The sequence below is a fragment of the Homo sapiens genome, chromosome 14 (genome assembly GCF_000001405.40).
Source record: "Homo sapiens chromosome 14, GRCh38.p14 Primary Assembly".
In the NCBI taxonomy this organism is placed as follows: domain Eukaryota; kingdom Metazoa; phylum Chordata; class Mammalia; order Primates; family Hominidae; genus Homo; species Homo sapiens.
In genome coordinates this window covers 81,775,866-81,792,214 of record NC_000014.9, presented here as the reverse complement: position 1 = coordinate 81,792,214, position 16,349 = coordinate 81,775,866, and the positions used below count along the sequence as shown (strand labels likewise).

Here is a 16,349-nt window from a genome sequence, read left to right as displayed (position 1 = left end):
ATTCTATCAAAAGTCATTAAAACATTCTTATATTACCAAGAGTGCTCTAAACCTTCATCAATTTGTTGAATGTGGCAGAATCCACATACAACATAACAAAGACAAAAATTGGGAGCATCTCTGAGAACGCTGAGGCGACTTCCCAAATGGTTATCAATGAGATTTTCTCCTCAACATTTAAACTCCTCCTATTGTAACCATAATAGAAGTCCATTGCCCGATGTGCAGGGCAAGTCAATATGCCAAGACAGAGTTGCAGCAGAGAAAGAGGTTTTAATTGTAGGGCCACAGAACAAGGGGATGGGAGGAAACCTCAAATCCATCTCTCTCAGGAGTTTGGGGCTAGGGTTTTTAAGAGTCTGGGAATGGGCCAAAGTGTGGAGATTGTTGATTGGTTGAGGAGTGCAGGATAAAGTCATAGGACAAGGAGATGAAGAAACTGCATTCTCATGCTGAGTCTGTTTTTCTGTGAGGGTCTTTAAACATCCATCAGCTGTTCTGCTGGAATTCAAGATCCACTGAAGCAATTCTAAAACAAAAGCTGTACGATTCTAACACCAGAGATCTATCTATCTAACATCAGAAATCTTATCTATGGGAACAATGGGGATGCAAATGGCTAGTATCTAACGTTACCTGACTTTCAGTTCCAAGGAAGTGGGTCAAAGTAAAGCCTCATTAATGCTTAATCATAACTAAATTTCTGTCAAGAATTCTTGTTAACCCCGTGAGATTGGCTTTAATATCTGATCTCAGTTCATTTAGACATAAAAATAGTGTATTAGTCTGTTTTCACACTGCTATAAGGAACTACATAAGACTGGGTAATTTATAAAGAAATAAAGGTTTAATTGACTCACAGTTCCACATGGCTGGGGAAGCCTCAGGAAACTTACAATCATAGCAGAAGGGGAAGCAAGGCACATCTTATATGGAGGTGGTTGAGAGGTACTGCCAAACACTTTTTAAACCATGAGATGTCATGAGAACTCACTATCATGAGAACAGCATGAGGGAAACTGCCCCCATGATCCCATCATCTCCTATCAGGTCCCTCCCTCAACATGTTGGGGATTACAATTCGAGATGAGCTGACACAGAGCCAAACCATATCATTCCACCTCAGCCCCTCTCAAATCTCATACCTTTTCACATTTCACAACTAATCATGCCTTCCCAACAATCCCCCAAAGTCTTAACTTATTCCAGCATTAACTTAAAAGTCCAAGTCCAAATTCTCATCTAAGACAAGGCAAGTCCCTTCCACTTATGAGCCTGTAAAATCAAAAACAAGTTAGTTACTTTCAAGATACAATGAGGGAACAGGCATCGGGGAAATGTTCTTGTTCCAAATGAGAGACATTGGCCAAAACAAAGGGACCACAGGTCCCATGCAAGTCTGAAACCCAGCAGGGCACTCATTAAATCTTAAAGTTCCAAAATAATCTCCTTTGACTCCATGTCTCACATCCAGGACATGCTGATGCAAGGGGTGAGCTACCAGGTCTTGGGCAGCTCCACCCCTGTGGCTTTGCCAGGTACAGTCCCCTCAGCTGCTTTCACAGGTGGGCATTGAGTGCCTGTGGCTTTTCCAGGCGCATGATGCAGGCTGTCAGTGGACTTACAATTCTGGGGCCTGGCAGATGGTGGCCCTCTTCTCACAGCTCCACTAAGCAATGCCCAAGTGGGGACTCTGTATGGGGGCTTCAACCTCATATTTCCCCTCTGCATTGCCCTGATAGAGGTTCTCCATGAGGGCTCTGCCCCTGCAGCAGACTTCTGCCTGGACATCCAGGCATTTTCATACATCCTCTGAAATTGACGGAGGGGTTCCAAAACTGAAATCTTGTCTTCTGCACACCCACATGCCCAACACCACATGGAAGGTGCCAAGGCTTGGGGCTTGCACCCTCTGAAGCAATGGCCTGAGTGGTATCTTGGCTCCTGTTAGCCATGGCTAAAGCTGGAATGGCTGGGACACAGGGCACCATGTCCCGAGGGTGCACAGAGCACCTGGGTCCTAGGAAACCATTTTTCCCTACTAGGCCTCCAGGCCAGTGATGGAAGGGGATGCTATGAAGATCTCTGAAATGCCTAGAAACATTTTCCCCATTATCTTGGCTATTAACCTTCAGCTCTTCATTACTTAAGCAAATTTCTGCAGCAGGCTTGAATTTATTCCTAGAAAAGGAGTTGTTCTTTTCTACTGCATGGTCAAGCTACAGATTTTTCAAACCTCTATGTTCTGCTTCCCTTTTGAACGTAAGTTCCAATTTCAGATCATCTCTTTGTGAATGCATATAACTGTACACTTTCAGAAAAAGCCAGGTCACAACTTGAATGTTTTGCTGCTTAGAAATTTATTCTGCCAGATACCCTAAATCATCTTTTGCAAGTTCAAAGTACCACAGATCTTTAGGACAGAGGCAAAATGCCAGCAGTCTCTTTGCTAAAGCATAGCAAGAGTGTGACCTTTGCTCCAGTTCACAATAAGTTCCTCATCTCCATCTGAGACCACCTCAGCCTGGACTTCATTGTCCATATCACTATCAGAATTTTGGTCAAAAACATTCAACAAGTCTCTAGGAAGTTCCAAACTTTCTCACATCTTTCTGTCTTATTCTGAGTCCTACAAACTGTTTCAACCTCTGCCCATTACCCAGTTTCAAAGTTGCTTCCACATTTTTAAGTATCTGTATAGCAATGCCCCAAACTCTCAGTACCAATTTTCTGTCTTAGTCCATTTTTACACTGCTGTAAAGAACTACCTGAGTCTGGGTAACTTATGAAGAAGAAAGATTTAATTGATTCACAGTTCTGCATGGCTGGGGAGGCCTCAGGAAACTTACAATCATGGTGGAAGGTGAAGGGGAAGCAAGACACATCTTACTTGGAGGTAGGAGAGGGCAGGGAACTGCCAAATACTTATAAGCCATCAGATCTCATGAGAAGTCACTATAATGAGAACAGCATGGGGGGAACCACCCCCATGATCCAATCACCTCCACCAGGTGATTCCTTGATACATGGGGATTACAATTCAAGAAGAGATTTGGGTGGGGACACAAAGCCAAACTATATCAAATAGTAATCGTATATGTCACTTTTAAAAAACATAAACATATACATTAGGTTGTTATTGTACTAAAGGCATACCTTGAATAATATGAGACACACACACAAACACCCACAGAAAGAAAAATAGCATTAAATCATAGAACGTCAGGATTGGTTTTGTGGTTTTTCCCCTACACACTCTTTAACTTTGTCTGAAAAGCTCAGTATGACCTCCATACTATTTGGCTTCAATAGGGCTCCCTTTTCTCTCCCTTTGTAAAAAATTAACAACAACAAAAAATTTCCTTCTCTAAAGGCACTTCTCTTCCATTCTACCTCAGTTCCCAAGTCACATATTTCTTCCTCAGAGAGGCCTTTCCCAACCATTCAATCTATAGAAGCACTTCATTTATTATTTATTTGTTCTTATCTTGTTTTTGGCCTAAATAATTGATTTATTTTCTTAATCTCTGAGTCTGTGCTAAATTAAAAGTTCTTTATTTGTTTTGTTTGCCATTGTAAATTCAAGACCAAACCACAGAATTCTCAATAAATATTTGGAGAGAGAATGAACAAGTTCAAAAATATAAGGAGAAACTTGTTCCTGAGGTTGATTACAAAAAGTATCTTATTAAGCTTTTCAAAATGTATAATCAGCCAGGCACAGTGGCTCACGCCTGTAATCCCAGCACTTTGGGAGGCTGAGGCAGGTGGATCACCTGAGGTCAGGAGTTCAAGACCAGCCAACCTGACCAACATGGTGAAACCTCATCTCTACTAAAAATACAAAATTAGCCAGGCATGGTGGCACATGCCTGTAATCCCAGCTACTTGGGAGGCTAAAGCAGGAGAATTGCTCGAACCTGGGAGGCGGAGGTTGCAGTGAGCTGAGATCGCGCCATTGCACTTCAGCCTGGGCAACAATAGTGAAACGCCATCTCAAAAAAAAAAAATGTATAATCATTTATTTTCAAATTCTGTTTTTTTGTTTTTTTTTACTTTAGTTACCTTTGTTTTCATTTTTTTAATTGTAAATTAGTAAATTGAATAACTATTATGTGCTGATATCATACAGGGATTATGTGGAATATTAGTAAATGCATGAGATATATACTCAAAATCTTACATTCTATTTATATTTATAATATATACTCAGACATCCTTTATAAAATAAGGCAGTAAATGATATTCTAGAGATAGAAAACATGGCATTGTGGTACCATAGGGGAAGGATGAGAAATACCCAGTATGTTTCTAGGTCTTCAATTGTTTTAAACTTTGTGGTAGATAGATTAGATAGATAGATAGATAGATAGATAGATAGATAGATAGATAATCTTACTGCGAAATAAATTTATTTGACATATTTTGAAATGGCTGAAATAGAGCCAGCAGAATGAAGTGGGCCTGCAAAGCTATCTTTTGTAGGATAAATTTGCATCTGTATAGAATTTCCATTAACGCAGCAAGGCCTTCCCTTTCTAGGCTTTTCCCAGATCTAGAAGAGCTTAACAGAGTCTGACCCCTTTAAAGGTCTGAAAAGAAACATTTACCATCTATTCTCTCTGAGGGCTATTGCCTATGAGGCTTCATCTACCTAACAAGACCACCTTCGCTAGCCAAGACCCTTCCTTTCTCCCTCCCATTACCTGTCTTGCCACTATAACCTGGTTTTGGCCATGCTCTGAGCCTGAATTTTTTCTGTAACCTCAAGGTAGTATATGAGCTTTTGTACCCCATTAAGGGGTTAGTTCTTTATTCAGAAGCCTCCCATGTATACACATTAAATAAATTTGTATGCTTTTTCTCCTATTAATCAATCTCTCATGTAAGTGATTTTCAGCAAACCTCCAGGAGGCCAACAGCCTTGCCCCTCACAATATAAACATACATATGTAACTGCCCAATGGATTCACCATGCCCGCTGCCTAAACAGAGCCAATTTATCAAGACAGGGGAATTGCAGTGGAGAAAGAGTAAATCATGCAGACCCACTGTGCGGGAGACCAGAGTTTTATTATTACTGAAATCAGTCTCCCCGAGCATTCAAGGATTGAAGTTTTTAAAGATAATTTGGCAGGTAGGGGCTTGGGAAGTGGGAAGTGCTGATTCGTCAGGTTGGAGATGGAATCATAAGGGGTTGAAGTAAAGTTTTCTTGCTGTCTTCTGTTCCTGGGTGGGATGGCAGAACTGGTTGAGCCAGATTACCCGTCTGGGTAGTGTCAGCTGATCCATCCAGTGCAGGGTCTGCAAAATATCTCAAGCACTGAAATTAGGTTTTACAATAGTGATGTTATCCCCAGGAGCAATTTGGGGGGGTGGTTCAGACTCTTGGAATCAGAGGCTACATGGCCCCTAATCCATACTCTCTAATCTTATAACTAATTTGTTAGTCCTGCAAAGGCAGACTGGTTCCCAGGCAGGAAGGGGGTCTTTTCAGTAAAGGGCTATTATCAATTTTATTTCAAACTATGAACTGGATTCCTTCCCAAAGTTAGTTCAGCCTGTGCCTAAGAATGAACAAGGACAGCTTAAAGGTTAGAAGCAAGTTGGAGTCAATTAGGTCTGATCTCGTTTACTGTTATAATTTCCTCAGTTATCATTTTTGCAAAGGTGGTTTCACATACATTTATGTATGTATGTATATACATATGTGAGACAGGTATGTGAAAGACAAATACAAGGTAGTGCACAGTAAGTGTTACATGAATATTATAAAATAAGTTGATATTACACGTAACTTTCAATGGATCAGTAGTCTTCAGCTTATTAAATAAACTTACTAAAAGCAAATTTTCAAAAATGCTTATAAATACCAAAACATATGTTTTTGTTTCTTTACTAAGTGTTATCTACCATATTTATTATCCTCGCTGTTTTAGCCAGTATTTGACTTGGAAAAGAGAAAACATTCCGTTGGAGGAAGAACCTTAGGAAGTCACCTGACTTAGATGTCAGATGAAACTTTCAGAAGATATACTGACTAAGATCTCGATAGAAATTGCTCAGGAGGGGAGGCAAATGAGAAGACATTCCAGGCAGAGAGAATGTCCAGGCAGAGAGAGAAAGTGAGGAAGTGAGAAAGATGTGCCTTCCAGAAACTGAAAGAAATGCAATATGGTTGGAGTGTAGTATATTTGGGGTTGACAAGAAGCAGAGCTGGAAAATGATGAAAGTAGAGAGGTAATGCAGAACCAAATCATGAGAGCTCACTTAAGCCAATTTCAAAGTTTGGAGGAACTTAGCAATAAAAGGTTGCTTTTGAATATGTCATGAGCAGTAAGGAAGCTTGTTTCTTGCCAAGACAACTCTTTCTTATTATGTTTAATCAGCTTTTTTAAACCTGAAGCAAATATGGCAAAATGTTATGATTTACTTAAACAGAATAGCTTTTGTAAATAATATTCTTTATACTTTTATGCTATGTTTAAATTTGCATAACAAAACTTAAGAGAGGTACAGACTAATGCGTAGATCAATCCAATAAATAAGGACCTCCACTTTCCACTTTCATATCTCCAGTATTATTAATGGAAGGAAATTTTGTATAAAGTCCAAACAGTGGCCCTCATTTTAACTCTTAGAAAGCAGAGGCATTATATGTTAGGGAGTGCTTGTCAAAGCACAGCTGAAATAATGATAGGATTTCTTGCTTACAGCAATTCATAATGTCTATTAATGTATATCAATGGAAACATGTTATATGAAAATTGTAGGTGGGAAATTGGATACGCCCATAATATACCTAGAGGTGCATTTATGCCTATTGAGCATCTTTCTTACATAAGCCTCTACCTATTGATATTGCTGAATCATTTCTACCTGCTGACCTAAGTCCTGGCCTTCTGTGGCCAATAGAAGATGTCTCTAAAACTACTGTGCATCAGTCTTTCACTTCAAGTATTTCTGAACATGTATGTGTAGTAATGTATAGACAGCGTTTTCCCATTGTACTTTGTTTTTGAACTTCTAAGCATAACCCAGATGTCCAAAGGTGCATGCCTGGGGTGGGGGAGTTTGTTCTGTGAAGCATGAACCAGCCTCATTACTTAAGGTAGTTCTCTCCCTTTCCTTCTAACAAATTTAAGTCTCTGCTCCAGACTCCGAAGAGTAGATGTCATTCTTCAAAAGCAATTTATAATGTTTGTTAAGGACTTCTCAGCATTTAGTTATAAAATTACTCAAATGCTTAGCAGTCCTCAAATCATCCATGTCATTCCAAGATCATCTCTATCAACCAGAAATGATATAAAATTAAAGAATTATTATGGACAAGCATAGTAATTATTTGGTAATGGCGAAGTTGGTAATGGCTCTATGGAATCCTTTCCAGTGCCTTTAATTCCTCAGAAACGGTGGCCACGACATTGACAAATTGACTTCTGACACATGGTTAAAATACTGGCAATGACCTATGCCCAAAAGTTCAGCTTTGAACTGGAAACAACAGAATAGTTTTCTTCTTCCATGAAACTTCAAAAAATATATACAGAAGAAAGACTTAGAGGCATGTTGGGATGTTGTCTCCTTTGCATATCATAGAGCCAAGTTTCCCATCTCTAGAATATCATTTATTGCCTACTTTTATAGAGAGCTATTTGTGTTTCTACTTCTCTTACCAGACAATAAACTTCTTGAATGGAATAATTAACTAAGGTTTTTTCACCTTCCAACAGGTGAAATCCAGCAATTAACACACTGTCTGTAACAAAGTAGAAGCTCAGAAAATGTTAACCAACCAAAATTGGCTTGAAATCATGGTTTCCAGAAGAATTAGGCTTTGTGGAAAATCACTGCTGAGTCAGAAATTGGCAAGAATCATTTTATGCCCTATTGGCATGTGGTTCTCTCTCCATTTCTTTCTCTCTCTCTTTTTTTTTTTTTATGAAGGAGTCTTGCTCTGTAGCCCAGGCTGGGAGTGCAGTGGCGTGATCTCAGCTCACAGCAATCTCGTCTCCTGCATTCAAGTGATTCTCGTGCCCCAGCCTCCCGAGTAGCTGAGATTACAGAGATGTGACACCATGCCCGGCTGATTTTTTTTTTTTTTTTTTTTTGGTATTTTTAGTAGAGACAGCATTTCACCATGTTGACCAGGCTGGTCTCAAACTCCTAACCTCAGGCGATCCGCCCACCTCGGCCTCCCAAAGTGGTGGGATTACAGGCATGAGCCACTGAGCCTGCCCTCTCTCTCCATTTCAAAGTGGTTCTTTCAAAATGAATCTGCTGAGAGCAGAGCCCAGGTGTTGAGAGCATCTGTATGTATCTATTTTCATCGATTGTAGAAGTTCCAAGGTGGTTAGGCTGGCAAGTTAAAATTAATGTAAAAATTTTTTCCCAGTGTCTCTAGCACAAAGAGGGAAGAAATCTTAAAATTAAAGTTTTAATATCTGGTGAAGACATAATGAAATTTTAATATTACAAAAGAAATAAGGTTTGTATAAATATTACAATAAGAAATAAGGTTTGTCTAAATAGTTTTGCAATGTTCCATGGAAATGAATGCTATACCAAACTTATTTCAAACAGAAATTTAAAAGTTCCTTAAAAAGTGCAAGAATTGAGAGCCTGCACTTTCTGTTAATCTTGTAATCATCCAGCTATATACCCATGATGAATTTTCTTCATTAGTTTTGCCTTGACAGGAAAATATAGCTGGCTGAAGTGACTGAAGCATTTACCCTTTCAAAAGTAGTATGCTAAGTTTCCATGTATTCATTTTAATTCATTTTTATCCTTTTTGTTTCCATGGGATAGTAGAAATTGTGTTCTCCACCCATCACTACAAAAGTAGTCATCAAAAATACCTAAAAACATAATGGATCAGAAGTTCTATGACACCCAGTGCCAAGAGAATGTGAAGAATCTTATTTACAAATATGGTATGTAAGTTATTCTAGGAAATGAGGGTTCTAACTACCACATAGGTCAAATGTATTGCTGCTATTGGGAAAAGGAGAGAGTCTGACTGGTAATATTCATCATGGTTTTAATGAGAGTTGGAGAGGAAGGTGTGAAGGGAAAACAAAGTTGCATAAAAACCCTTAGAGTTTTTAGAGAGCCAGAAGAATAAAAATTAACCTGGAGCATAGAAGAACTGATGCAGAAAAACAACCTGCAAGACATGGAGAGAAGTGTAGGAAAATTCCAAAGATTTCCCTGAATATGTGTAACTGCAATTCCCTACCAAACCTAGAGCATGATTCATGATTTAGAAATAATTTGGGCTTGTTTTTTCCTCATTGTGAAAGTCATAATTCCCCTGTGTGAAAACTGTGGAAAACAATTTAAGGAGTAACTATTACCCATTATTTAAATCCCCAAAGATAACTTCCATGAACATTGTGCTGTATATCCTTCCAGATATAGATACATATTCATGTTTTATGTAATTGAGAACATATTAAATATACAAGTTTTATGTCCTACATTTGTTTTTCCATTGCCATTAAAAACTCTCTTAATACATCATGTTATGCGTGTAATATTGTGTTAAATAGCTCAATGTTAAATATTTTTGTTCTTTCCAATGATTCACAATGATTTTTTAAAAACCACTGGGAATTTATGATCACCAAACCTGGAAGCAACTAAGATGTCCTTCAATAAGTGAGTGGATAAACTATGGTACATCTATAGAATATAACACTACACAGCAATGAAAGGAATCAGATATCAAGGTCATTGAAAAGACATGGATGAATCTTAAATTCATAATGTATATTTGCTAATAGGTAGGGGGAAAGGTTCTGACCTAAATAATTAGAAATGACCTAAATACCTTGTAAGACTGAAGTCAAAAGAAAATACACAAAAGCATTCTACTCTCACTGATAAAACTGTCTCTGGGGATTGTGAATTGACAATTCTAAAACCACTATACATATGTAGGGGATCGGTCAGGGTGGTGGGAGAAATTATGAGGATAAAGTTACAGAAAATAGACACAAACCTTCTTGGAAGGCCAGGAGGTTTGCATAGCTTCAGTAAAAGATTTGGCTGAAGGCAGCCTAATCCTCTTTACCTTGAGTTGATAGCAGAAGAGCAAATAACAAGGGAATGTGGGGGAGTTTATCTAAATAGCTTGTTTACTCATGTGGTCCTAAGACTGACCTTTGATCATCTGTGGGCCCATGATTGCTCTCTACTCATGAGGTCGGCAATGTTAATTACCCTCTAGTGGTGTTTACCTGAGACCTTTGTCATTTAATCTGTACTAAATAAATGCAAACTTCGCCGGCTAATTGAGGCCAAAGCTGCGGATGCAGGCAGCAGAGACCCGTAGCCACACTGACAGGCAAAATATCTGTGTCAGTGCACGTCTTTCATCTGTCGCTGGTTCAGGGTCTGCAGGTCTGACCTGGCATATATATATATATTGGAATTGAAGAAATTAAATAAATACATAGTGAATGATGAGAATCAGGTTTCTCACTGTTAAAGTATAAGGTTACAAATAAACCAGAGGTGTAAACTAAAATGATCCATGAAGCAATAGATTAAAGACATCAGCATGAACTCAAATTTAGCTTAATGCAGATACAGATGGTTACATATTTATTATTTATAGTTATGCATATGATCAGGGGTTAGTATATACACATATATTTCCTTGCTCTGTCAACTGAAAGAACCTAGAAACACTGACATTTAGTAGCAATAAGCCCACTTAGTGCCCAAATCTTGGTTTCTAATACTATTCTTCAATAAAAGGACAAGGGCTCCTTGGATGAATTGCTGAATCTAGGACTGGGGCAAGAAATACACAAGATGACCCTGGAGCATACAGTCATACCACAAAGAAAGAGCTTTAAAAAATACAATGATAAGATATGTCAAAATGACACAGACATCAACTAAAAGAGCTTTCAGAAGTCAAAGCTGAAACAATTTAACTAACAAAATAAAGTAGTATTGGATTTTTAGCTCAAAACATAAAATAACTATCTATGCATCTATACTATTATAAATAAATGTTAAATAAATTTAATAGGAGAAAAATAGATATATCTTCCATAAAGAAATATTCCAAGTAATTTATGTAACTATTCTGCCCTTACATTTGACAATTAATTTTCTAATTCTTAAATGGGAACTACTTTCAGTGACTTTCTTCCAAAGAGTACACTGGGAGAAGGGGAAAGAAAAGAGTAACTTGACAGTAGAGAAACATGATAAACACTACCTCAACCAGGTGATCAAGGTCAAACTCAACAGTGATGCCATGTTAATAGTAAGTACCCTTGAAAAGATGTGATGATAATGGCACTTTATCTCTGTGGTCTTCCTTCCAAAACCCACAAGTTCAATCTAATCACATTTTTAAAACTCAGAAAAATTTCAATAAAGGGACATCCTATAAAACATGTGAGCAGTAGGCCGGATGCGGTGGATCACGCCTATAATCCCAGCACTTTGGGAGGCTGATGCAGGCAGATCACGAGGTCAGGAGTTTGAGACCATCCTGGCTAACATGGTGAAACTCTGTGTCTACTAAAAATACAAAAAATTAGCTGGGCTTGGTGGCGGGCGCCTGTAGTCCCAGCTATTTGGGAGGCTGAGGCAGGAGAACGGCGTGAACCTGGGAGGCAGAACTTGCAGTGAGCCAAGATCGCACCACTGCACTCCAGCCTGGGCAACAGAGTGAGACTCCATCTCAAAAAAAAAAAACAAAAAAAACCATGTGAGCAGTACTCCCCAAAACTGTCAAGGTCAGCAAAAACAAGGGAAGTCTGAAAAATTCACATCTTAGAAGAACCTAAAAAGACATGATGACTATATGTAATGATAATCTAGATAGGATCCTGGAGCAATAAAATGTCATTAGGTAATAACTAAGGAAATCTGAATACGGTATGCATTTTAGTTACCATCAATGTTGGTTCATTCACTGGGACAAATGGACCTTATCAATATTTATATTAGGGGAAAATGGATGTAGTACATATGGAAATTTTCTATACTATCTTTGTAATATTTCTGTAAATCTAAAACTATGCTAAAGTAAAATAGTTATGTTTTAAACGATTAAGAATAATATTTTGGCCCCAAAGAGTTGTCCATAGTTCTGATTATTTTCTGAGAACTGGAATTACCGATTAAAAGTAAATGAATACTTTAAGGGGCCCTATTGCCAATTACTTACCATTACTTTTGCACTAATTTAATATGTCAGTGACAGCATTTGAGTGAGTCTGTCCCTGTTAGGAACCCTGATTAAAAGTGACTTAGATGTTGAATCTTCCTTACAGAAGCCAACTAGTCAAAAAGGGCTAGCTTTATTCAACCTGAAGTGAAAGAAGTCAGTATAACCTAGAGGATAAGTGTTCAGGGTTGAATGATGCTGCGTGAATTTGTATATGGCTCCACTATTTTCTGACTGACTTTGGGCAGGTTATGTAGCTGCCTTAATCCTCAGTCGTTCTTACCTGTAACATGACGATAACCAAATAACTCTACCATATGGTTTTGAGGACAATTAAATAAGGTAATGCATACCACTTAATTAGTACCATAGCTGGCACAAAGTAAGCACTTGTTCTCAGTTATTGTTATTGGTTTTTACTTGTTCATTCATTTAGTCAACAAATACTTATTGAAGAACTACTATGTGTTAGGCACTCTGGAAGGTTCTGGAGAGACAGTGGTCAACAAGACACAATCCCTGCCTCTAAGGAGCTTACCATCTTGCAGTAAAGTCCAAGACATGCACAAGAAATCACAATCTCATGTGATGAGCGTGCAAACAGACTTCCTGATTCCAGGGAGCAATGGAAGCATATGGCATGATCATGATCAAGAAAGCCTCATCAGGGAAGTAGACAGATGAGCCAAAATCTAAAGGATTTATAGGATTTAACCCAGTGGTGTACTGAAGCCAGCACACACCCGCTCTCTAGGACCCATTGTGCAAATTTCTTCCCAATTTTGTGTGCAATGACATCACATGGGTAGCTTGATAAAAGTCATGGTGAGAATGTTTATGCCATGAAAACCATCAAATGCTGCAAATCTGGGGTCCTCTTCTTCCCCTCTCCCAAAGGCAGTTGTTAAATATTTACCAGCAAAACACTGCTTTAACCAATCAAATTCTGAAGGAGGAATGTGGAGGGAAGCAAGGAGCATGGTGGATTTGAGAAACTGAGAGGCATTTGTCTGAGCTAGAGCAGGAAGGGGTTATGAGGATAAAGAACAAGTGGGAACCAAATCATGTAGCCCTTTGTAAGCCAAATTAAGACATTTAGAATTTTTTTCTGAGGGCAATGGGGAGCCACTGAAGGGTGTAGGGCAGGGGATCAGATATGGTTTGCACATTAGAAAGATTCCCTCTGGATTTGAAGAGCATAGTGTAATTGAGAATAGACAGGGTGTGCTTAAGATTTTATGGATACATAGATGACTTGGATTTGATAATTATCTTTGTCTTCACAGGGTGGTATAATTAAAGTGCCATTATCAGTTAATATATCAAAATGTCTGTATTTTTTTCTTTGTGTTTCCTACCTGGATTTTTTTTAAGTTACTTTCTTAACAAACTGTCACAAAACAGTAGACTGAGATTTAACACTTTTGACAGTTTTATTACATTTCCAACAGTTCCTAGAAAATTTTCTTCTTCCCAATCCTACATTTATGAAGAGAGCAAGACCTGAGACTGAAATAAATGAAAAGGTTGCTGAAGGGAACAAGGTAAAAGATAATAGTCTGAACATGGGGGGTAGTTGTTGTGGTTATGGCAAATGGCTTTGAAAAATATTTAGGAGGTAGTTCATGATGATGGCATGAATGAGGAGAGTGAGAGGCAAGGAAAAGTGCAGATAAATGCTCAGATACCTGGCTGGGCACTGGTTACTTACACCACAAAATAGGAACCAATAGAGAAATAGTAATTTAGGGCCAGAATAATATAGTCCAGAAAACAAGGGGGTATGGTGGTGAAAGGGGGGAAAAGAATGTGTTTGTTCAATTACTGAGTTTAAAATGTCTTTGCAAGTTCTAAGAGAAACTGTGCAGAACTCAGTTGTGTATGTGAATATGGAGCTCAAAGAAACAGGAAAGAAAAAGCACCTTAAAAAACAAGGCATGGCCAGGTACAGTGGCTCATGCCTATAATCCCGGCACTTTGGGAGGTTGAGGCAGCAGAATCACTTGAGGCCAGAAGTCCAAGACCAGCCCAGGAAACATAGCAAGACCCAATCTCTACAAAAAAAGAAAAAATAATAATAACCAAATGTAGTAGTGTGTACCTGTAGTTCCAGTTACTCAGGAGGTGGAGGTGGGAGGATTGCTTGAGCCCAGGAGTTGGAGGCTGCAGTGAGTTCTGATTGCGTCCCTGCTCTCCAGCCTGGGTGACAGAGTGAGACCCTGTCTCTAAGAATAGCATGAAAAGTCTTCTTCCAGCATCTGGACACAAAGAAAGAGAATGAACCCTTGTGAAGCCAAAAGACGCAAGCACGTCTTCAAAGAAGAGCGAGTCAGCAGTGTCAAATACAGTAGAGAGGTCAAAAAAGAATTAAGACATTCTGTCTTTGCTGCTTCTACATGAGAATGAAGACCATTCTCAGGAATCAGATTAAACATTCCAGAAAATGTCAATATCACTCTGAATGGACTCACAGTTACGAAGGGCCCCAGAGGAACTCTGCAGAGAGACTTCACTCATATTAATGTAGAACTCGGTCTACTTGGAAAGAAAACAGAGGCTTCAAGTTGGCACAGTGGAGAAATAAGACAGGAATTTGCTCTGGTTCACACTATCCATAGTCATGTACAGAACAGGATCCAGAACATTACACTAGGCTTCCATTACAAGATGAAGTCTGTGTATGCTACAGGATGAAGTCTGTGTATGCTTACTTCCTACTCAGCATTGTCATTCAGGAGAATGGGTCTCTTGTTGACATTAGAAATTTCTTAAGTGAAAAATACATCTGCAAGGTTCAGATGAGGCCAAGTGTGGCTTGTTCCATCAGTATGTCAAGCCCAGAAAGAGGAGTTCATTTTTGAAGCTAATAACAGTAAACTTGTACCAAATTCAGCTTCTTTGATTTAGCAAGTTACAGCAGTTAAAAACAAGGATACCAAAAAATTGTTGGATGGTATCTATGTCTCTAAGAAAGGAACAGTTCCGCTGTCTGATGAATAAGGTCTAAGAGTTATCCAGCTATGGAAACGAGAAGATGCTGGATGATTTCTAAGACCTATTTGTGATATTTTTTATATGCAATAAAAGCCCTCTATTGTTAGAAAAAAAAATGGAAGGAAGGGATGGAGGAAAGGAGAAAGGGAGAAAGGGAGGAAGGAAGGAAGGAAGGGAGGGAGGGAAGGAAGGACTGGATTTAGTAGTAAGGTTCTCTCCTTAGCAGCCACCTACAGAGCCATTTCTGAAGAATGGCTGCGGCAAAGGTCAGATTGTAAAAGAGTTAAAAATAGCAAAGATAGACTATTTTTACCTGTGGCTTAGGTTTCTGCCTAGCAAGGTCAAACCATGTAACAAAGGTATGACCTAGCCCAGTACTTCTGAGACTCTTCCACCAAAATATTGCTTATAGCAAAACGGGGTGGGAATCTATGCATGTCTAGGGGTATAGGATCCTACAAATACAAAATTTCTCTAGCTTTATCCTAGTAATTCTTTTAAATTTATGTTTGTTATAGTATGAAAATAGTAGTTTTCAGCCCCAAAAAAATCTTTTGGAAAAAAAACATACTCCCAGGAAAATGTAAGATGTTTAAACAGTGGCCTCAGGGAGTTCTGCAGGGTGCATATAAACACTAGTTTGAGAAGCAAGGACTCACTCCAAGTTTTGTGTGGGAAAATGTACCTTTATTTCAATTACTTCACAGAGATTGTGTCACAGTTTACCCCGGGAGCGGTAGCTCACGCCCGTAATCCCAGCATTTTGGGAGGCCGAGGCGGGCAGATCACGAGGTCAAGAGATCGAGACCATCCTGGCCAACATGGTGAAACCCCCAGCTCCACCAAAAATACAAAAAAAATTAGCTGGGCATGGTGGCACGTGCCTGTAGTCCCAGCTACTCGGGAGGCTGAGGCAGGAGAATCACTTGAACCCGGGAGGCGGAGGTTGCAGTGAGCGGAGATCACGCCACTGCATTCCAGCCTGGTGACAGAGCAAGACTCCGTCTCAAAAAAAAGAAAAAGAAAAAGAAAAAAGAAAGGATACAAAGAAAGGGAAGTCATCCAAGAAGGCAAGAAGGCAATGTTGACCTAGAGAACAGATGCCAGACCAAACTAGAACTCAGGTTCTACTCCTGGATCACTGTAAAATGATAGT

General features: G+C 39.0%; 1 long non-coding RNA gene and 1 pseudogene across 5 annotated transcripts in view; one reads left to right on the top strand and one right to left on the bottom strand.

The window, feature by feature from the left end:
* The window catches only part of LOC107984704 (uncharacterized), a 336,950-nt gene that overhangs the window by 281,932 nt on the left and 38,669 nt on the right, over positions 1-16,349 (bottom strand). Inside the window, exon 3 of one of the 5 annotated variants that reach the window (XR_001750838.1) lies at positions 14,397-14,457. The exons of the other annotated variants lie outside the window; for them this stretch is intronic. This is a non-coding gene — a long non-coding RNA (uncharacterized LOC107984704). Of the gene's footprint in view, positions 1-14,396; positions 14,458-16,349 lie in introns of those variants that run through there. 5 annotated transcript variants of the gene reach the window in all.
* RPL9P6 (ribosomal protein L9 pseudogene 6) lies at positions 14,582-15,295 on the top strand (annotated as a pseudogene).